Here is a 24,759-nt window from a genome sequence, read left to right on the forward strand (position 1 = left end):
ATTAAATCTTAAGCTCCAAAATGATCTCTTTTGACTGCATGTCTGACATCCAGGGCACAATGATGCAAGGGATTGGCTCCCAAGGCCTCGAGCAGCTCTGCCCCTGTGGTTCTGCAGGGTACAGCCCATACAGCTGCTTTCATGAGCTGGCATCGAGTGTCTGTGACTTTCCCAGGTACATGGTACAAGCTGTTGGTGGATCTACCATTCTGGGATCCAGAGGATGGTGGCCCTCTTCTCACAGCTCCACTAGGCAGTGCTTCAGTGAGGAATCTGTGTTGGGGCTCCAACCCCACATTTCCCCTCTTGCCCTCGTAGTGGTTCTCCATGAGGGCTCCACTCCTACAGCTGACTTCTGTTTGGATATCCAGGCATTTCTATACATCCTCTGAAATCTAGGTGGAGGTTCCCAAAGCTCAACTTTTGTCTTCTGCATACCCACAGGGCCAACACCATGTAGAAGCTGCCAAAGCTTGGGGGTTGCACCCTGTGAAGCCATGGCCTGAGTTGCACTTTGTCTCACAAAACCATTTTTCCCTTCTAGGCCTTGAGGTTTGTGATTGGAGGAGCTGCCACAAAGATCTCTGACAAGTCCTGGAGACATTTTTCCCATTGTCTTGGCAATTAATATTCGGTTCCTCATTACTAATGTAAACTTCTGCAGCAGGCTTAGATTTTTTTTTCCCCCAGAAAATGGGTTTTTCTTTTCTACTGCATGGTCAGGCTACAAATTTTGCAAACATTTATGCTCTGCTTCCCTTTTAAACATAAGTTCTAATTTCAAATCTTCTCTTTGTGAACACATGACTGTACACTTTCAGAAAAATCCAGGTCACCTCTCGAATGCTTTGCTGCTTAGAAATTTCTCCTGCCACATACCCTAAATCATCCCTCTAAAATTCAAAGTTCCACTGATCTCTAGGGCGGGGCAAAATCCTGCCAGCCTCTTTGCTAAAGCATAGCAAGTATAGCCTTTGCTCCAGTTCTAAATAAGTTTATCATCTTCATTTGAGACCACCACAGCCTGGACTTCATTGTCCATATTACTCTCAGTATTTTGGCCAAACCCATTAAACAAGTCTCTAGGAAGCTCCAAAGTTTCCCACATCTTCCTGTCTTCTGAGCACTCCAAACTGTTCCAGCCTCTGCCTGTTACCCAGTACGAAAGTTGCTTCCACAGTTTTAGGTCATCTTTATATCAGTACCCCACGCTACTGGTACCAGTTCTTTGTATTAGTTCCTTTTCACACTGCTATAAAGATACCACCTGAGACTGGGTAACCTATAAAAAAATAGCTTTAATTTGCTTACAGTTCTGAATGACTAGGGAAGCCTCAAGAAACTTACAATCATGATGGAAGGTGAAGGGGAAAAAAGGCACATCTTACTTGGTGGCAGGAGAGAGAGAGAGTGCAGGGAGAGGTGCCCGTTTTAAACCATCATATCTCATGAGATCTCCCTGGCTATCATGAGAACAGCATGGAGGAAACCTCTCCCATGATCCAATCACTTCCCACCAGGTCCCTCCCTCAGCACATGGGGATTACACTGCAAGATGAGATCAGGTGGGGACACAAAGCCAAATCATATTAGTTGTTCTTGCGTTGCTATAAATACTTGAGACGGGGTAACTTATTTTTAAAAAAGGTGTAATTGGCTCATGGTTCTGCAGACTGTACAGGAAGTATGACTCTGGCATCTGCTCAGCTTCTAGAGAGACCTCAGGAAATTTACAATCAGGCTGGGCACAGTGGCTCACGCCTGTAATCCCAGCACTTTGGGAGGCCGAGGCGGGTGGATCACGAGGTCAGGAGATCGAGACCATCCTGGCTAACATGGTGAAACCCCATGTCTACTAAAAATACAAAAAAATTAGCTGGGTGTGGTGGCAGGTGCCTGTAGTCCCAGCTAACTTGGGAGGCTGAGGCAGGAGAATGGCATGAACCTAGGAGGCGGAGTTTGCAGTGAGCCAAGATCGTGCCACCACACTCCAATCTGGGCGACAGAGCGAGACTCTGTCTCAAAAAAAAAAAAAAAAAAAAAAAAAAAAGGAAATTTACAATCATCACAGAAGATGAAGGAGGAGCAGGCATATCACATAGTGAAAGCAGGAACAAAAGGGTGAGGCAGAAGGTAACACAGACTTTTAAATGACCTGAGAACTCACTCACCATTGCAAGAACAGTACCAAAGGGGATGAAGCTAAACCATTAATGAGAAAAACACCTCCATAATCCAATCACCTCCCACCACTCCCCATCTCCAACATTGGACATTACATTTCAATATCAGATTTTGGCAGGTATACACATCCAAATTTTATCAATAACTATACAATGCATGTGAAAATGTTTTACACACTTAAAAACCTATACTAAAAAAGCATCATTTGTTATTTCTTAGAACTCTAATAATAACTTAGAGTTTTACTAGTGATTGACAGACGTATTGTGTGATGGATAAAACTGTTGGCTCAAAGTTTTACTCTTTGATGTAGTCTTGTCTTTTAAGCTGCTTTTGGTTAATGATATGTCGGCAGAAGTAACAGAGTGCTGATTTCAAGTCTGGCTTTAAAGAAACATCACAGATTTTCACTTTTTCTCTTCCACCACTGTTATCATCATAAGAAGACCAGGCTATAACTTGCCTGCTGGCCTAAGGAAAGTTAGAGAATTAAACATAACGTCTAGGTTTTTGAGCAATAGGCTAGCCAGTGGCTTTATTTATAGAAATGGGTAAAATTCAGAAATGTTTGCATTTGATAAGAAAGTGTTTTGGACACGTTAAATTTCAGATGCCTATCAGGCACCCAAGTGAAGACATCAAACAGGAATTTACATATCTGGCTTGCAAGCTCATTGGAAATGTTTAGAATAGAAATGCAAATTTGGCACTCATCTATTTTTAGACATATTAAAAGTACAGGACTTTATTAGATCTAGAGAGTGAATGTGAGTGAAAACAAGATCTTTGACTAAGCCCTGTGGTACTCTTAATATTTAGAATTTAAGCAAAGAAAGAGGAGCCAATGAAAGAGACTAAGGAAGGATGGCAATTTAATAATAAGGCTAAGATAATGGTGTCCCTGAAGATAAACTCAAAAAGTGTTTCAGGAGAATAGGAGAAAATGAGCACATATGCAAAATCAAATTAAGAACTTAGCTGGTTAGGAGAGTTGATGACTGAACTAATCATTCATTTTGGTAAATTTAAATTTCTTAGTGATGTTGACTAGAATTGTTTCAGTGGGTTGAAGATGTCAATTATTTTTAGAAATTTTATTGAAAAGAGGAGCAGAGAAGGGGTTAAAAAGGTCAAAATGGTTTTTAAAATGTTAAAAAAAATACGTAATACATGTCTGTATGTTCTTGAAAGTGATCCAAGAAAAGGAAAAATGCATTAATGCAAACAGAAAAGATAATTCTAGAAACAATGTTATTATTATTATTATTATTAGAAGAGATGAGATTCCATTATACAGGTAAAATTTGGTGGTTTGCTTAGAGAGGAGCAAGAATAGCTATTCTACTTTAATAAGAATAAAAGCAGAAAATGTGAGTATAAATTTAGATTGATTGGTAGACTGTATATTGAAAGTGGAAGATTTGGCATTTACTTCATCATGGCGTCTAGATCTTCAGTAAAATAAAATAAAATAATAAAATAAAATAAAATAAAATAAAATAAGGGATGCAAAATGATAATAGGGTAAAATTGGATGACTGGAGGGAGAGCCGGAACTGTGAAATGGTCATCTTGAAGAGTTGTAGCAATAAAGTAGTAAAAATATAGAAAAAGCCACTGAGATTTATGGTCATAAATTTAATGTGAAACCAGTCAACAAAATTATAAATTTTTTCCTGTCATGTTCTAACTCAACTAGAAGGAAAATAAACCAACAGTTAAAATTAACCAGGAATAGAGATTTTCTAGGTAGTAGTATGGTTGATTTCAATATATTAGTGACTAATATGGTTTGGATGGGTTCCCACTCAAATGTCATTTTGAAGTATAATCCCCACAATCCCTACATGTCTTGGGAGAGACCTGGTGGGAGGTGATTGCATCATGGGAGTGGTTTCCCCCATGTTGTTCTCATGATAGTGAGTGAGTTCCCACAAGATCTGATGGTTTTATAAGGGGCTCTTTCCCTCTTTCTCCAGTCTGGGGTAGTATCTTTACAGCAGTGTGAGAATGGACGAACACAGTAAATTGGTGCCAGTAGAGTTTGGTACTGTTATAAAGATGCCAGCAAATGTGGAAGTGACTTTGGAACTGGGTAACATGCAGAAGTTGGAATAGATTGGAGGAATCAGAAGAAGACAGGAAGATGTGGGAAAGTTTGAAACTTCCTAGAGACTTGTTGAATGGTTTTGACCATAATGCTGATAATGATATAGACAATGAAGTCCAGGCTGAGGTGGTCTGCAATGAAGATAAGAAACTCACTGGGAAATGGGGCAAAGTTCACTCTTGTTATGCTTTAGCAAAGACACTGGTGGCATATTGCCCCTGCCCTAGACATCTGTGTAACTTTGAACTTCAGATGAATGATTTAGGGTATTTGGCATAAGAAATTTCTAAGCAGCAAAGCATTCAAGAAGTGACCTGGGTGCTTGTGATGGTTAATACTAAGTGTCAACTTGATTGGATTGAAGGATACAAAGTATTGACCCTAGGTGTGTCTGTGAGGGTGTTGCTAAAGGAGATTAACATTTGAGTCAGTGAATGGGGAAAGGCAGACCCAACTTTAATTGGGTGGGCACCATCTAATCAGCTGCCAGAGAATATAAAGCAGGCAGAAAAACGTGAAAAGGAGAGACTGGCCTAGTCTCTCAGCTGACACCTTTCTCCTGTGCTGGACACTTCCTGCCCTCGAACCTCACACTGCGAGTTCAGTTTTGAGACTCAGACTGGCTCTACTTGCTCCTCAAGCTTGCAGACAACCTATTGTGAGATCCTGTGATCATGTAAGTCGATATCTAATTAACTTCCCATATATATATATATATATATCCTATTATATATATATATATATCCTATTATATATATATATCCTATTTTATATACATATATCCTATTTATTTATATATATATATATATAATAGTTTTGTCTCTCTAGAGAACCCTTACTAAAAGAGGTTTTGGTACCAGGAGTGGTTCTAGAGGAACAGAATATTAAGAATGGAGTTCTTTTGTTGGTTTTGGGGTTTCTGGAGTTGGCTGCTTAATATGATTAGACTTCAAAATGCTAAGGATTCTACTTCTAACAGTGTGGAGAACGCCAATAGTCCTTGGCATAAACTGTTTAGAAAGTTATGCAAAATAAGTGCATTTGACACTCCTGACTCACCACTCATGAGAGGCAAGGAGTTGAGTGACTCTATACATAACACCTTTGACCATATGTGGAGAACCAAGGAACATAAAGAAGCTGGTTGGTTGCTCCTAAAGTTCAGGGAACAAAGTAATGAAAGAAAATGATGAACTCAGGCATTCTGTCTCTTAGCTTCAGAAGCAGATACTGAGCCTCAAATCTGCTAAGATTGCCCTGAGTGAGACTTATCTCCTGTAGAGAAAGAGCTAAAAGTGTGGAAAAACAGATACAAGGTCTTATCATGCGAATGGCTGACCTGCAATGAAATGGGCATGCACAGCCTTGCCAGATATCTTCTGTTAAAGTGAGGGCATTGATTAGAAAAGAATAGGACCCTGCAGCTTGGAATAGGGATGTGTGAGAGGACCCTGATGAAGTTGGAGACACTGAGCTTGTAAACTCTGATGAACGTTTTTTTGACAAAAGGAACAGCTACCTCATCCCCAGTAGTGGCAACTTTCCCTCCCCTACCCATGCTGCCATCAGCCTTTCCACATTTCTCTGAGGAGATAAGCCCTGTGCTTCCTGAGACAATAGTGATGGCCTCCCCTGAGGCAGTTGCCAGGCCAAATAATGTTGATTCTCTTCAGGAGCCATCCCCAACACCCCTGTTTGCTTCTAGATCTAAACTTTACTTCTAGGCCTAACGTCCTGGTAGGATCCTTGAGGTGAGGTTGAGAGTGTGACCCATGAGGAGGTGTGGTACACTCAAAAAGAACTATTTGAGTTCTCTACTTTATATGAACAGAAATCTGGAGAACAGGCATGGGAATGGATATTAAGGGTATGGGGTAATGGTGGAAGGAACAGAGTTGGATCAGGCTGGATTTATTGATTTGGGCCTACTAAGTAGAGACTCTGCTTTTAATGTTGCAGCTAGGGGAGTTAAAAAATGTTCTAGGCCAGGCACAGTGACTCACACCTATAATCACAGCACTTTGGGAGGCTGAGGCAGGTGGATCACCTGAGGTCGGGAGTTCAAGACCAACCTGAGGTCGGAGTTCAAGACCAACCTGACCAACATGGAGAAACCCTGTCTCTACTAAAAAACAAAACAAAACAAAATTAACCAGGCATGGTTGTGCATGCTTGCCTGTAATCCCAGCTACTCGGGAGGCTGAGGCAGGAGAATCACTTGAACCTGGGAGGTGGAGGTTGTGGCATGCCAAGATCATGCCATTGCACTCTAGCTTGGGCAACAAGAGCGAAACTCCACCTAAAAAAAAAAAATGTTCTAATAGTTTATTTGCTTGGTTAGCTGAAATATGGATTAAAAGATGGCCCAAAATGAGCAAGCTGCAAATGCCTGATCTCTTGGTTTAATGTACAGGAAGGGGTGCAAAGGCTTAGGGAGATTGGGATGGTGGAATGGATTAGTCATTTTAGACCTACTCATCCCAGCTGGGAGTGTCCAGAAGATATACTCTTGACCAGTGCCTTGTAGATATATCTTTAACCAATGCCTTGTGAAATAGATTTGTGAAGGCAGCACCTGAAGTTTTGAAGAGCCCTGTAATTGCTCTTTTCTCTGTATGACAGATCTAACAGTGGGAACCACAGTCACTCGACTACAAAATTTAAATACAATGGGAATAACTGGATCCCAAGGTGGCAGGGGCCAATTGGTCACACTCAGTGATCAAAGGCAAGGTGGACGTAGCTACCGTAATGAACAGCAGAGGCAAAGCAGCAATCAGAATAGTTTAACTCGTGTGGACTGCTGACATTGACTAATCAATCACAGTGTTCCGAGAAATGAAATTGATAGGAAGCTTACTGCATTCCTACTTAATTTATACAAGCAGAAAGCTTCTAGGTCGAATGGAGAAAGGACTAATTTGAATTATAAACACAGAGAATCATGGCCCCTAAATCAATTTTCAGACTTGAGCCAGTTTACAGACCCCAAACCCCCTGAATGAAGGGGAGGCTGGATCCCTTTGATGAAGGACCCCACTACATTACTGACAATTTTCCTATCCTTCCTTAAGAATACCTCTGGCCTTTTACCAAGGTAACTGTACATTGGGCAAAGGGAAATGATTAGACATTTCAGGGACTACTGGACACTGGCTCTGAGCAGACATTGATTCCAGAAGACCCAAAATGTCATTATGGTCCCCCAGTTAAAACAGGGGTTTGTGGAGGTTATGTAATTAATGAAGTTTTAGCTCAGGTCTGATTTACAGTGAGTCTAGTGGGTTCACGGATTCATCCTATGGTCATTTCCCCAGTGCCATAATGCATAATTGGCATAGACATACTTGGCAGCTGGCAGAACCCCCACATTGGCTCCCTGACTAGTAGGGTGAGGGCTACTATGGTGGGAAAGGCTAAATGGAAGCCATTAGAGCTGCCTCTACACAGAAAAATAGTAAATAAAAAAAAATTACATCCCTGGAGGGATTGTAGAGATTAGTGCCACCATCAAGGACTTGAATGATGCAGGAGTGGTGATTCCCACCACATCCCTGTTCAACTCTGCCATTTGGCAGGTGCAGAAGACAGGTGGATCTTGGAGAATGACGGTGGATTATTGTAAGCTTAACCAAGTGGCGACTCCAATTGCAGCTGCTGTACCAGATGTGGTTTCATTGATTGAGCAAATTAACACAACTCCTGGTACCTGGTATGCAGCCATTTACTTGGTAAATGCCTTTTTCTCCATTCCTGTCCATAAGGCCCACCAGAAGCAATTTACCTTTAGCTGGCAAGGCCAGCAATATACCTTTACTGTCCTACCTCAGGGGTATATCAACTCTCCAGCTTTGTGTCATAATCTTATTTGGAGAGACCTTGATCGCCTTTTGCTTCCATAAGATATTACACTGGTACATTACATTCATGACATTATTCTGATTGATCCAATGAGCAATAAGTAGCAAACACACTGGACTTGTTGGTGAGACATTTGCATGCCAGAAGGTGGGAAATAAATCCTACAAAAATTCAGAGACCTTCTACCTTAGTAAAATTTCTAGGGTCCAGTGGTGGGGGTCTGCCGAGATATTCTTTCTAAGGTGAATAATAAGTTGCTGCATTTGGTCCCTCGTACAACCAAGAAAGAGAGAAAGAGGCACAACCCCTAATGGGCCTATTTGGATTTTGGAGGCAACACATTTCTCATTTGGGTGTGTTACTCTGATCCATTCATTGAGTGACTCAAAAGTCTGCCAGTTTTGAGTGGGGTCCAGAAAAGGAGAAGGCTCTGCAACAGGTCCAGGCTGCTGTGCAAGCTGCTCTGCCACTTGGGCCATATGACCCAGCAGATCCAATAGTGCTTGAGGTGTCAGTAGCAGATAGGGATGCTGTTTGGAGCCTTTGGCAGACCCCCATAGGCGAATCACAGCGGCAGCCTGTAGGATTTTGGACTGAGACCTTGCCATCTTTTGCAGATAACTACTCTCCTTTTGAGAGACAGTTCTTGGCCCGTTACTGGGCTTTGGTGGAAACTGAACATTTGACTATGGGTCATCAAGTCACCATGCCTGAACTGCCTATCATGACATGGATACTTTCTGACCCATCTAGCCATAAAGTGGGTCATGCACAGCAGCATTTTGTCATCAGATGGAAGTGGTATATATATGATCAGGCTCAAGCAGGTCCTGAAGGCACAAGTTACATGAGGAAGTGGCTCAAATGCCCATGCTCTCCACTCATGCCACCCTCCCTTCTCTCCCTCAGTCTGCACTGATGGCCTCGCGGGGAGTTCCCTAGGATCAGTTGACAGAGGAAGAGAAAACTAGGGCCTGGTTCACAAATGGTTCTGCACAATGCGCAGGCACCACCCAAAAGTGGACAGCTGCAGCACCCTAGCCCCTTTCTACAACATCCATGAAGGACAGTGGTGAAGGGAAAACTTCCCAGTGGGCAGAACTTCAAGTGGTGCACCTGGTTGTGCTCTTTGCATGGAAGGAGAAATGGCCAGATGTGCAATTATATACTGATTCCTGGGCTGTAGCCAATGGTTTGGTTGGATGGTCAGGGACTTGGAAGTAGCATGATTGGAAAATTGGTGACAAAGGAATTTGGGGAAGAGGTATGTGGCTGGACCTCTCTGAGTGGTCAAAAACTGAAGATATTTGTATCCCATGTGAGTGCTCCCCAATGAGTGGCCTCAACAGAAGAGGATTTTAATAAAGCGGAAAGGATGACCTGTTCTGTGGACACCACTTAGCCTCTTTCCCCAGCCACCCTTGTAATCGCAAAATGGGCCCATGAACAAAGTGGCCACGGTGGCAGGGATGGAGGCTACACAAGGACTCAGCAATATGGACTTCTACTCACCAAGGCTGATGTGGCTATGGCCACTGCTGAGTGCCCAATTTGCCAGCAGCAGAGACTAACACTGATCCCTCGATATGGCACCATTCCTCAGGGTGATCAGCCAGCTACCTGGTGGCAGTTGATTATATTGGACCTCTTCCATCATGGAAAGGGCAGAGGTTTGTCCTCGCTGGAAAAGACACTTACTCCAGATATGGGTTAGCCTATCCTACACAAAATGCTTATCCCAAGACTACCATCCGTGGACTAATGGAATGCCTTATCCACCAACCTGGTATTCCATACAGCATTGGCCCTGAACAAGGCACTTACTTTACAGCAAAAGAAGTGTGGCAGTGGGTTCATGCTCATGGAATTTACTAGTCTTACCATGTTCCCCATCATCCTGAAGCAGCTGGATTGATAAAACAGTGGAATGGCCTTTTGAAGTCACAATTACAATACAAACTAGGTGAGAATACTTTGCAGGGCTGGGGCAAAGTTTTCCAGAAGTCCTTGTATGTTCTGAATCAGCATCCAATATATGGTAGTTTCTTCCATAGCCAGGACTTATGGATCCAGGAATCACGGGGTGGAAGTGGAAGTGGCACCACCCACCATCATTCCTAATGATCCACTAACAAAATTTTTGCTTCCTGTTCCCATGACATAACGTTCTGCTGGCATAGAGGTCCTAGCTCCAGAAGGAGCAATGCTGACACTAGGAGACACAACAACGATTCCATTAAACTGGAAGTTAAGATTGCCACCTGGACACTTTGTGGTGTCCTCCTACCTTTAAATCAACAGGCTAAGAAGGGCGTTACAGTGTTGGCTATGGTGACTGACCAGACTATCAAGGTGAAATCAGTCTACTACTACACAACAGAGGCAAGGAAGAGTATGCATGGAATACAGGAGATCCATTAGGGCGTCTCTTAGTATTACCATGCCCTGTGATTAAGGTCAGTGGGAAACTAAAACGGCCCAAACCAGGCAGGACTACAAATGGCCCAGACCCTTCAGTAATGAAGGTTTGGGTCACTCTACCAGGAAAAAAACCACAAACTGCTGAGGTGCTTGCTAAAAGCAAAGGGAATACAGAATGGATAGTAGAAGAAGATAGTTATAAATACCAGCCATGACTACGTGACCAGCTGCAGAAATGGAGACTGTAATTGTCATGGTATTTCCTTCTTCCTTTGTTAAAAATATGTTTGTGCATGTATACACGTGTACTAAGAAAATATCTTCAGTTTATTTATTTTTCCTTTATCATATAAGATTTATTGACTTCACAGCATTTAAGTATTTTTAACTTTATGTAATAGTATTTGGGTTGGGGATTGGTGCATTTCCTGTTGTACGAAGGATAGTGGTATTAGGCATAATTATGACCTTATTATTGTCTTTATTTGAAAATTATGTATAATCTCAGGAGATGTTTATGGGTTCAAGCTGACACTGGATGGACTTTTCATGGTTAATACTGATTGTCACCTTGATTGAATTGAAGGCTACAAAGCATTGATCCTGGGTGTGTCTGTGAGGGTGTTGTCAAAGGAGACTAACATTTAACTCAGTGGAATGATAAATATATATATATATATAATATATATATATGCATATATATATATCTCCTATGGAGGATATATTTTTATATATATTCTCATGTGGAGGATATATTTATATATATATATGTATTCTCCTGTGGAGGATATATTTATATATATATATATTCTCCTGTGGAGGATATATTTATATATATATATGTTCTCCTGTGGAGGACATATTTATATATATATGTTCTCCTGTGGAGGATAGATTTATATATATATATTCTACTGTGGAGGATATATTTTTATATATATATATTCTCCTGTGGAGGATATATTTTTATATATATATATATTCTCCTGTGGAGGATATATTTTTATATATATATATATATTCTCCTGTGGAGGATATATTTTTATATATATATATATTCTCCTGTGGAGGATATATATTTATATATATATATATATATTCTCCTGTGGAGGATACATTTTTATATATATATTCTCCTGTGGAGGATATATTTATATATATATATATTCTCCTGTGGAGGATACATTTATATATATATTCTCCTATGGAGATATACATATATATATTCTTAGGGAGATATATGTATATCTTCTACAGGAAGCAAAATTTTGCTAGTGGGTCACTAGGAGTGATGGATCTCTAGGCCAGAAGAATGTTATGTCATGGAAACAGGAAGCAAAAATTTTGCTAGTGGATCACTAGGACTGATATATATATATACATATATATATGTATATATATCAGTATATATATGATATATATGTATATATATTATATACATATATGTCATTTATATATATATATATCAGTCCACTGACTCAAATGTTAGTCTCCTTTGACAACACCCTCCACAGACACACCCAGGATCAATGCTTCAATGCAATCAAGTTGACAATCAGTATTAACCATCAAAAGTCCACCTAATGTCAACTTGATATCCTATGTATATCCTATTTTATATATATATCCTATTATATATATATCCTACTAGTTCTGTCTCTCTAGAGAACCCTGGCTAATACAGTGCTCTTAAAAGCACTAAGTTATATGCATTCACAAAGATGGTTTGGACTTGGACTTTTGGGTTAATGCTAGAATGAGTTAAGAATTTGGGAAACTGTTGGAAAGGCATGATTGTGTTTTGATATATGAGGACATGAGATTTGGGAGGGGCCAGGGGCATAATGATATGGTTTGGCTCTGTACTCACTCAAATCTCATCTTGAATTGTAATCCCTGTAATCCCCATATGTCTAGGGAGAGACCTGGTGAAAGGTGTGTGGATCATGGGGGTGGTTCCCCCATGCTGTTCTCATGGTAGTGAGTGAGTTCTCATGAGATATGTTGGTTTAATAAGGGGTTCTTCTCCCTTTGCTCCACACACTTCTCTCTCCTGCCTCCTTGTGAAGAAGTTGCCTTCTTCCCCTTCTATCATGATTGTACGTTGCCTGAGGCCTCCCCAGAGGTGTAGAACTGTGAGTCAATTAAACCTCCTTTGTTTATAAACTACCCAGTGTCGGGTAGTATCTTTATAGCAGTGTGAGTCGCTTATACACCGATTTACTATAAAAAATATGTAATTTGCATAAAGTCTGATGTGAATCCAGATCCTCTCCAGGGAATCATTCCTCCCTGTGTGAGCTCAGTATTTGGAATTGCTTTGATATTTTGGCACCTTCAACCAACACATGTTTTAGTGATTGCTCAGCAAAAAGGAGGAAAGACAGGGAATCACACACTGGTTCTATAATATTTGTACTAAAATGTGGCATATGACACATTTATGTCCTATTGGTCAAAGCTGGTCAGTACAAAGCAGTGGAGTATTCTCTTAGATGCAGGATGCAAGAAGGCCAGAAATATTGGTGAGGGTCACTAGTATCTTGTATATCAGATGAGCATGATAGAGGAAAATTAAATCAGTTCAATGGATGGTATATTTAAAAGAGTTATTCTAATAATGTTTCATGGAATCTAAGTTATAAAACAAGTTAAATAAGGGAAAGCAAGGTATTGGGTCATGAATACCAAAAGGTTCCAATGTAATGAGGTCCTAGACTGTCCAAAGCTTAGTTGACAAAGGGATAGTAGACTCAGATGGAAAAGTTGAAGTAGATGGCAAAGAATGAGCATTGATAAAGACATTTTTTATGTTTGTTTTAAATGGCAGTAATTTTCAATGGCACTAATTGCCAGTAAGAATGGGAAACTAAAATAGTTTAGAAGAAAAGTCATTGGAAATGCCAGTCATTGGAGTGACAAGCCATGGCATTTGAAAGTTTACATATATAGATATTGCAGTTTCCGGTGTAAAAGACAGGGAAGTGAAGTAGCAATGTGCATAGACTTTGCATTGAAAGACAGGTGGTGGAAAGTATAAACCAAGCAGAAAGAATTGAGGTTTTAAGATAGGAGTAATGATCTTGGTGAACACTAAGGAGATGTAGACTCCTTGAGTAACAGTCAGATTCAGACACTGAGAGAAGACTTAGTAAAGATATAGAGATTTGCTGTTAACAGAGGGTAGTTACAGTGACTGTGTTTGGGAGTTAGGGAATGTTAGGACATTGGGTCCAATTAGGGGATCTATAGAGACATATGGGTGATTGTGGAAGTTTGGGGATTTTAGTTGTTTCCAAAATAAACAGGACTATAAAATGATTACATTAGTACTGATGGTTTCTTAGGGAAAATTGGGTAATCAGTTCTAATTATAGCTTCCTTTTTAGGATTAATCTGTTTAACAGTTTGTAAGCAGGCAGCATATAGGCCAAGGGAGGGGCAGTCTTACCAAGAACATCAGTTGCTCTACGGATCTCTGTAAATCTTGTTTGGCAGTGGCCCCACTAAGGGAAATAGTAATGGGAAAAACAGAGCTTTGTGTATCTCTTAAGTATTATAATAGGATGAATTAGGGCCAGAAAAGAAGCAGTAGTACATAGAGCATTTGCACCTTTGAATGGTTTTCCACGTTGAAATCCCACTAATAATGATAATTTCTGCTTTAACTTTCTACTGTTGATATTAATATTTTATGGTGTATGCTCACAAGCACAAACCCAAACAAAGCAAGACTGCATGTGTGTGTGCCCAGGCACTTATTAGATATGTTCTCAAACAAGTAACTAAACTTCTTTGGGCTTCAGTTTCCTATCTGAGAAACACTACCAATTCAGTTGTTATCAGAATTAGACAAAGTAATATGTTCAAAGCACCAAGAAAAATACCTAGCACAGAGCTTTTGATACTATTATTATTAAGTAAGTGTTGTCTACTGTTTTCATTGAATAGTCTTCTAAAGTATGGTCAAATCTTTCTTCTATTTGTAAACTATATCTTGTCCCTGTGTGCTAGTAATCATTTATGAAGACCTTTAAAGATGATTGTGATTTGGTCTTTGTGCATCATAAAGGGGAAAATCAAGAATTTGTTTATAACTGTAGATACTGAATTTTAGATCTAATATTTAAATCTATTATTTTGAGAACCTAACTTGCAGATCATCCCATATTTCACAGTCAATGCTAAATAAGCGGATGTTTTATTGTTCTGTTTTTCTAACCTTCACCAGAAAAATAAAATATTTCAATAAAGCTGAAACAACCATCAGAGGCCTCTATTTGGAGTGTGTCAGTGAACCAGTTACAACATTTATCATATACCAATAAGAACCATTATTTAATTTTAGGATTTATGCCAATAATTCTTTATCCTTCTGATTGCAAAATAAAAGTAATAACTCAATCCTATTAAATATGCAAACTTAATGGTGGTGGTGGGGTTATGTTTCACAGAATGCTAGTGATGTCTTTATCAGAATTCAGTGTCAGGTTGTTACCTCTTCATGAAATGAATCAAAAAGCTTCCCATGTTTTCTTCTCCTCTTCCAGAGACAAAGAAATTTTATGCTCTGTGATAGGCTCTGGTTCTACTACAAACTAACAGCATTTTGCTGACTATTTTTGCTTATACATATATATATATATATATATATATATATATATATTCTCTATTTTCATTCCCATCTACCTTATTTTTAAATAAAATTGAGAACATATTGTTTTTCTAAAAAAAAAGACCACTGCATTAAGATTTTTATTTTTGTAGCTAGAATTATCTGTAATATTATCTTCTACTGTTTTTTTAATTTTTTAAAATTATTTTCTTATTTATTCATTATTCTGAGATTAAATGCCTATTTTAATTCTCTTTTTTATGTCTTTTTATTTCCTTGCTTATTTTACCACAGGTTTCTTCATTTCATTGATTAGTCAGATAAAAAATTCCTGAATGTATTTATCAATTATATATTTTACCTTCAATTTATTTAATTTTTTGCTTTAATGCAATTTCAGACACATAGTTTTGTTATTCCTCTTCCAGTTTCTTAAATCGAATTCTCATTATATTTATTTTAATTTTCTCTTCATTCATAATTAACTAACATTTTACTGATTTTTCTTTTGAAAATATTTGATGCATTAGTTTTGACATTTAGGATGTAGTTGTTAATGTTTAAATAGTCTAAAACTACTGTTTAATTATCTCTTTTCTCTAACTAAGAAGACATTTACTTTTGTACAAGAGGGTAGATTAAAAATATTTTTGGTGACTTCAAGATGTTTGCATTGAGGTTGAAGACTAGGACTTAAACAGCTTCAGTGTTTTAAAGCATGTTGAACTCTAATAAGCAATTGCTGGCTTTTGAAACATTAATGGTTACTAGACAAAAGGATCTGTTTTATGGTATAAAGTTTAATACACTCCTTCACCTTATTATTTTATTAGAACATAATACAATGTTAAGTACAGGTCTGGCATAGAATAGTTCTGGGTAAAATGCTGGCCTCATTTAACAGCTATGTGACCTTGAATCACTCACTTTCTGTCTCAGGATAAATCCTATTTAAATTATTTTAGCTTTATTTTTCTGTATCAAAAATTACTATGATGGCTAAATGAAATTTGTAAAGTACTTAATATATTGCATAGAAGAAAATAATTTTTATTAAATTATTAAATTGTAATTGCTATTGATATTATTGGTTTAATTATTACTATTTATGATTATGTACATCTTACAAACACACATATCAAAGTCTAAAAGAGGTATGATTATTTTTTCCAACTGCTTTTGTAACTTACTTGCATATTTACAGCCAATGCAGTATGATTAAGGCACAGGAGTTTTATGGCAATTTTATCTTCTTAGAGAAATATAAAACTAAAAATCTTGTGCTCTGAATTTATCTGGCCTGGATATCAGTCTGAACTCCATTGTTTTCCAATTACATGGTCTTTGAAAAAATTAACTCGCTTTATTTATTTATTTATCTTGGAAACAAAAATTATACCAAGTATAATTTAGAACTATATATGAGTTAATAAACATAAAGTTATAGAACAGTCACTGGTACAGTATAAAAACTCACTAAATGCAGCTATTACTAATATCATATATTAAGCCCTTCAAGGAAAAATATATGTTATACTATGAAATGTCACCCATTTGCTTTGTTTACCATATATGTACCTATTTTTAACTTTTTAATGTCACTTAATTTCAGGTATGACTATTTCATGTAGTTATATTCTACCTTTTGTCACTTTGTTTTATTTTAATAAGTACAACTCCTTAAAATTTAATGTTTTAATTGATACAAGTTGTGTTGCATTTATTTGCAAGCTTGCTATATGCCTCAATTTTTAAATTTTCTTGGTTGTGTTCTTACTTGCTTGAATTTTTTCCAAAGTGATTTTTAATAGTTTTTTTAAAGTTGTTTTTAATCTGTATTTTTCTAGTTGATAAAATTAAGAAAAATACTAATTTTGGCTTACCTATTGACAGGTCTCTTCACACGGACGCGCATTAAACCTATAACAACAAAAAAAATTTAGCCCACTTTTGTTTTGCTCTATTCAAACCAGTTAAAGATTTTTCTCAATACTCTGTCATTTTACATACATAAAATTTTTCAGTATTTGATATTTTTACCATCTGCCATCTTTTTCTGACAGATTAACAAAAATGACTATATTTTTTGCCATTTATCTTTTATTTTAGTACTTAACTTTATTCACTTACACTGTAATTGTTCTTTACATTTTTTCTCTATCTTTAATCTCCTTTCATTATATACATATCTTAAATTTTGGAAAGAAAGGAATGAGAAAGACTTTTTAACACTATGGACATGAGAAGATTTTTATTTTTTATTGAGTTCAAACAAGTGACTACTTAGCAAGGCTTGACATTTGGTGGTCACAATTTTTTTTTCAGTCAATATTCTGAAAACTGTGCATTGTGAATTCTGGCATTTTGTTTGTGCAGCAATATCACAACAACCACTGACCTTTCTTCAGTAGTATCCATTACTTTGTTTATTTGTCTTTCTTATTTTCCATTTGTGATGGCTTAAATAATGTTTTTCTTATCTTTTTAGTTCAAAATTTTTTCATAATAAATCATTTTTGTTGATATTCCTGAGCAAACTATGAAATCATTATCAGCTTTCTGTCACTTGAAATCTTTAGCTATTTAGTCATTTGCTTCTGATACAGAAATTATTGGTACCTTTCACTACATTATCTAACCTTGACATTTGTCACTCTTCTTTTTTCAACATTTGAAATTCATTACCCTTTATTCTCCACATTCTGGGAGAGATTCTCACATTTGTTTTTGAGGTTAATGATTCAATTTTCTGTAGCACCAAATTTTATTTTCTTTCCCTGAAATGCAGTCTTTTTTAAAAAATAATTTTTCATTTTGGACTTATGTTATTACCTTTTAATCTCTTCTGATTTATTCCTTATGTTTTGGTTTTCTCATTTATAAGAACAAATGCCTTGAAATTCATTAAGAATGTGAACAACATTCTAAATTTGTTATTTTGGTTCTTGCATTATATAATTTCAGAAGTATGTGCTTTTTGTGTGTCTTCCAGGTACTAATACATTTACTTATAATGTGTAATGTAGAAAAATTGTTCCATGTTATCATTTTGTTCTTATATTATGTCTATTACTGTAAATACGTATTGCTTAGTATAGCCTAAATGCAATAGAAATAGGACCAAACAAATGGCTTAACACAATAGACGCTTATATATATTTTTTGCTCCCAAAACAATAATTGTTAAATGTACAGGAGGCAGATGATCTTTTATCCATGAATTCATTCAATGACCCAGGCTCCGATTTATTATATCTCTACCAATGCACAGATATTTCTTATTCTCTGTATGCACCCGTCATAAGAAGAAAGAACAAAAAATAGACTGCATAAGTGGTTTTAATGGACCAGAACTGGACCATAATGGCTCACGTCATTATGGCTCATGTGCTGTTGGTGGGAACTCAGTTCTATAGCTATGTCTAACTCTGAGTAAGCCTGAGAAATGAGGCCATTTGTGTGCCAGAGAAGAAGAAAATGGATTTGGTTAATAGCTAGCAGTCTCAGAAATTTTCAAACAAGGCAATATATGGTCTGTCAATATACAAGCCAGAATGAAGTAGACTGAGTAGGGTGTCTTTAGAAATAAATATTAATTAGCAACACTGGCCTTTAAACCTGCTTGGTAACGTCACCCTTTCTCAAACAAGCATAAAATCTCAAATCTAGCCCATAGTTTTTCTACACATTTGCATATCTTAGCAAATATTTCAGTCCTTAAGTATTAAATAATAAATCAATAAAGTCTTGCCTAAGCTAGTATCAAAAGATAAACTCACCCAATTTAGAATTTTTTTCTTATTCAACTTCAGCATGACTTAGACTTGAAAATATACAGTGCAAGGAGAGAGAGTTTGTCTTTTTTTGGTATTTTATGGGCACACAGTAGGAAACATTAACGGCTGTTACTTTCAAAGAAATGGGAAGTCACATTCCTAGTTGACATGGTAACATGCAAAGCTCCAAGCCAATTTCTAATCTTTAATAGATTTTATTTAGGGTTTTGAGTGTTTTCCCTACTGAAATAAAATCTTCTTTTTTTTTTCTCAGTTGATTTGCTGTATGTAATTCTGAATAAATACAGAAAAGTCCATGGAGGAAAATGCATTAAATGCTCAGTCGGCTTTGTTCCTATTAGGTTTCTTAATGTTTCATAGCCTACTAGTTTTAGTCAAGGTACAACTTCTATGAAGCATAAATTCTCATCAGCACCCTACAAATCCTCCTAAATACTACTGGCTTCTCTTTAGAACCCTACCATTCCATTACCAGTTATTCTCCACAATATGAAACATTTGTCTAAATGTAGAGCTATGGTAAGTATAATAGTATTCATGACTGAGGAGTATCATTCAGTTTTTGGACTCCACATGTACTGAGACAGGTGTTAGATCTTACAAGTATTATGAAAGATAACATTAACATAATCAGAATGACATAAAGCCTAAGTAATTTTTTAAAATCCAAATTTATCTGCCTTATCATTAGTGCAAATTACTTTTTGCTTTACATTTTCTGACAGCCTTAGCTTTCATTAAGAGTTTTCATTTTTTCTTCAGTGATGCCACAGGTGTATTTAAAGTGAGTGCCTTGTCCTTTTCTGTTTAAATGTTATTATTATGTAACATACTAGCCCTGAGTATTTGTATATTATTTACAAAAAATATATAAAATTTCTAACTGAATAACTGTGCTGTAGTTTGTCTAAATTTTACTATTATGGGATTCACACTAAAAAAATAGAACACTTTTCTTAATTACACTTGTTTAAGACTATCTTACAGAAGGCGTTTCTCAAACTGATACCCATTGGAGAACTTTTGTTACTGACCCACAAAGAATTACTACAGAAATTGGAGTATTTACAAACATTTCTAGAAAATGCCATTGCTGTAACATACAAGTATGTGATAATTTTTTAGAAATCCATTTTTTTCACAATTATCCTTCTATGATGCAGACAGGCAAAATAATCTTTCACCACAGATAGTTTGAGAAGTCGTGTCCAAGAAATATTCAGTACTACTTCCATTATGCTTTGTTTTCCTGAGTCGCTGCCTATGTCCTGTCTTCCCAGGTCATCTATCATTTATTCCATCATCCAGCTTTTTCTGTCAGAACTGGTCTGTACAGCCGGGTGGTGGCTCACACCTGTAATCCCAGAACTTTGGGAGGCTGAGGCGAGTGGATCACCTAAGGTCAGGAGTTTAAGACCAGCCTGGCCAACATGATGAAACCTTGTCCTAAAAACACAAAAATTAGCTGGGTGTGGTGGCTCATGCCTGTAGTCCCAGCTACTTGGGAGGCTGAGACAGGAGAATCTCTTGAACTCAGGAGGTGGAGGTTGCAGTGAGCTGAGATACTGCCACTGCACTCCAGCCTGCGTGACAGAGCGAGACTCCATCTCAAAAAAAAAAAACCTAATCTGTACATTGAGTAATCTATCCCTTTTTTGCACCCTTCTCCAGCATCCCAAAGTCTTTCACTGAGATTTAAGAAAATAACATTGTATCATCAAGACTGTCCTAAATTCTCAGTCTCACTTCTAAGTGTTTTCAACAACCACATGCATATGCATACACCTCTGCTTCATCATTTTCTAAACTATTTTGTTCCTGCTTTTTTTCTTTCACCTTCATGAATAGTCTCTATTTTTTTCAATCAACAAACTTGTTCTAGTTTCACCTGTCTAAAATATCTGTCTAATCTATCATTTATTATCAGTCATCTATTCTTTATAATTTATCTATTATCTATCTAGCTATTACAACATAACATTCTTTTCCAAATACTGTCTCATTCCACAATTCCTCTTCATAAACATAAGTGAATGAATAAATTTTGAAAGAAGGGTCTATCCTTACTGCCTGTACTTTCTCATTTACCCTTCCCTCCTCACTGCATCCCTGCTACTGCAATAAACTGCTTAATTGATGTATCAGCAATATTTAATGAAAAATACTACTTTGTATTCTTACATCAGTTTATTTCTTCATGTTCTGTTTTCTTGTCACCCTCTATTTTCTTCTAGCTTATTGCTCACTCCATCTCAGTTTCTGGTGCCTGATGCTCCTTTTACGTCATTTGAGCTTAGATCAGGACTCGATCATCAAGCCTACTTTTCTTTTCTGAATATATCATCTTTCTCAGGCAATCTCATGCAGTTCCATGACTATAAAAAACACCCATATGCTGAGACTCTCAAATGTCTATCTCCAGCCTTAACTTTTCATCCAAAATGTAGCCTCATTTCTGCAACAGCTTACTTGACATCTCCATTTAGACAACTATTAGGTCTGTCCAATTCAAGACATCCTGAAGGAACTCATAATTTTCTCTTCTACATGTGTCTTTTCCCTATGCTTCCCTTTCTTAGTAAATGACACCAGTACTAACTTAGTACTTAAACCAAAAAATTGATTATCTTTGTTGATTTTCATACATTTTAACCTTTCCTTTAGAAAATATTTTCATCTCTACTTCCAAAATATATCGCAGATTCTTTCACTTGTCCTCCACTGCTTCATTAACATACTTGGCTGGATCATGTTTATAACTAGATGAGACTATATTAATAGCCTTCACTGGTCTTTGTGTAAGCTTCCTTCTTATGCTATTCTCCAAGCATCAGTCACACTAAATAGTTGAATCACTCATCATGCAAGCATTTAAAACTTTTTAGTAACTCTTTGTACAATTATAATAATATCGAAAATTATTGTAGTAATGTAAAAGTATTTGCTTTCTGCTCCTCTCTCAGAAATCCCCGAAATATTTCTACACTTGTTATCAATCTAGTCACATTGGCTTTCAGAGAGCTCACAGCATTTGTGTTTGCTGTTCCTTTTGCCTATAATATTCTTCCTTGGCTTCTCAATATTTATATGCATGTCTTGTCTGAAACCATGGCCCTTGACAGATCCTTCTCAGCCAATCAATTTAAAGGTATTCTCCATTGTTCAGTATCACAATACTCCCTTCTATTTTTATCAAAGTGTATATCACTAACTGATACTATCTTGTTTGTGTGTGATTTTGTTTTTCTTGTTTATAGTCTTCCCACCTTCTTCTAAATTAAATGTATGTCCCTGAATTTATTAATAAAGTTTGTCTTGATATGTGCTATACTTAGAAGAAGGCTTACTGGAAGTCTGAAATATTTTTTAAATGAATGAGATTTAGAAGCAGCTGAATTAACAGCTACTGGCCAGAGGTTATTTTAAACAAGAAGTTATTTAGGTCATGTTTTATATGTATATTTGATCATTCAAGTTAATTTTAGTATTTATCTAGAGATTCAAACAGTTATGCTAATTTAAATTTTTCTCTAGTGGTTTTACCCAGACAAGAAAATGGTGGGAAAACTGATGTTACATAAAATGAAATATCTCTAGGAGCAAAGGAAAATAAATAAAAATATAAAAGATACCAAAGGTTTTATTTTTCTTTTCTATTTTCCTTTTATTTTAGTTGGCACACACAATTATATATATTTTTGGGATACAGTGCAATATTTTGAAACATGTATACAAGTGCAATGATCAAATCAGGGTATTTAACATATCTATCACCTTGAACATTCATCATTTGTGTTGTGAACATTAAAAATCCTCTCTTCTAGCGTTTGTAAATATACACTAAATTATTTTTAACCATATTCATCCTAAACTGCTACAGAACATTAGAATGTATTCCTCCCATCCAGGTGTAGCTTTATATCCACTAACCAAACTCTCTTTGTCCCCCCTATTCCCACTACTTCTCCAGATGCTAATAACCACAACTCCACTCTCTGCCTTTGTAAGCTCAATTTTCCTTTAGCTCCCACATATGAGTGAGAACATGTGATATTTATCTTTCTGTGCCTGACTTATTTCACTTAACCTAATGTCCTCCAGTATCATGCATGTTGCCACAAATGAAAGGATTTTCTTCTTTTTTTATGGCTGAACAGTATCCCATTGTGACTACATACCACATTTTCTTTGTCCATACATCTTTTGATGTTGATGCCATATTTTTGCTATTGTGAATAAAGATGCAGAAAGCATGGAGTTCAAATATCTCTTTGATACACTGATTTCCTTTCCTTTGGATATAATACTCAGTAATTGGATTGCTGGATCATATGGCAATTATAGTTTTCATTTTTAGGGAAACCTACATACAGTTTTCCATCATATATGCATTAGTTTACATTCCCACCAACAGTATATGTTTTAAGAGTTCTCTCAAATGATTATTTTAAAATATAGTTACTATAAATAAATGAAAACTGCTTTAATAGACCTTACCATTTCAAATGGTTACAAGAAAGAAAATTATCTGCTTTTACAGATTATTTGTTTTTCAACTCTGTGACTTGGAAAGGGACTAAGTATACTGACAAAGCAAAAAATAATGTAACTTCATTAAACATGCTAATTTAGATTCCTCTTAAAAATGCCAAACTATATTTTATTACTTTTTCAATTACAACTAATCTATTTTTGAAGTTCTAATTAAGTGCCTGAATGAGAAAAAATGTTCTTGTTTTAGTTTTTAAAGGATTAGTGGTTGTTTCATTGACTGAAACATGAAATATGAATTAAAAAATTTATTTCTGGATGCAATAACAAAATTTTAGGTTTTGAGTAACAGTGAACTGAAAACTTTAGAAATATTGTGTATGTGTTTTATTTTAACTGTGTTCTCTTAAAATGTTGTAAAAAAGTATATTTCCAGTTTAAACTGGCATATCTTAAATTTGCATTTGGGGACAGAGATGGATATTAGCACCATGCTTTGAAAATTTTAGTTCTTACTTTCAATTATTGAAAGTATTATTTTGTCTCACCAGAAGAATATAACTGCCACAGTTCAAGTTATCATAGATATCCCCTGTGGTATCATATTTTACTCCATGAGAGTCTATGTGTGTTGATGTATAAAGATATGCTTACTGTAAATATATAAAAATTTTTCTTCAAACCTTTTGTCTGTCTATACTCTCTAAATAATTGGTTTGACTTGGGAAAAAGTCTTAATTTAAAAGTGAAATTTCTTCAAATTTTCAAAGACCATTAATTATTTCACAGAATTTTATTATTTTTAGAAAAGTATATTTAGTGAGGGAATATAATGATAGAACATTTTTATTATTTATATAAGTTTTACATCAGCTAATTTATATAAGATACAGCATTTCCTTTGTAATTCATGTGTATTTGGTTGGAAAAATAGGGCTAGTTTACTGATGAAGTGAGTAGACACATGGGAAAAAACTGGAACAAGTTCTAACACTGTAGAATCTTAGTTTAATACACAAACCAGGGTTGATAAAGTGAATAAGAGAGAAACATTAAAATATGAACCATAGGCCAGGTGCGGTGGCTTGTGCCTGTAATCTCAGCACTTTGGGAGGCTGGGGTGGGTGGATCACTTGAGGTGAGGAGTTCAAGACCAGCCTGGCCAACAAGGTGAAACCCCGTCTCTACTAAAAATATAAAAATCAGCTGGGCATGCTGGCATGTCCCTGTACTTCCAGCTACTCAAGAGGCTGAGTTAGGAGAGTCGCTTGAGCCTGGGA

General features: G+C 36.6%; 1 long non-coding RNA gene across 2 annotated transcripts in view; it reads left to right on the top strand.

Annotated features, from left to right (window-relative positions):
• LINC02445 (long intergenic non-protein coding RNA 2445) overlaps positions 1-24,759 on the top strand; it is an 87,521-nt gene that overhangs the window by 62,376 nt on the left and 386 nt on the right. The window lies entirely within an intron of this gene.

The sequence above is a fragment of the Homo sapiens genome, chromosome 12, assembly GCF_000001405.40.
Source record: "Homo sapiens chromosome 12, GRCh38.p14 Primary Assembly".
Taxonomy (NCBI): Eukaryota; Metazoa; Chordata; class Mammalia; order Primates; family Hominidae; genus Homo; species Homo sapiens.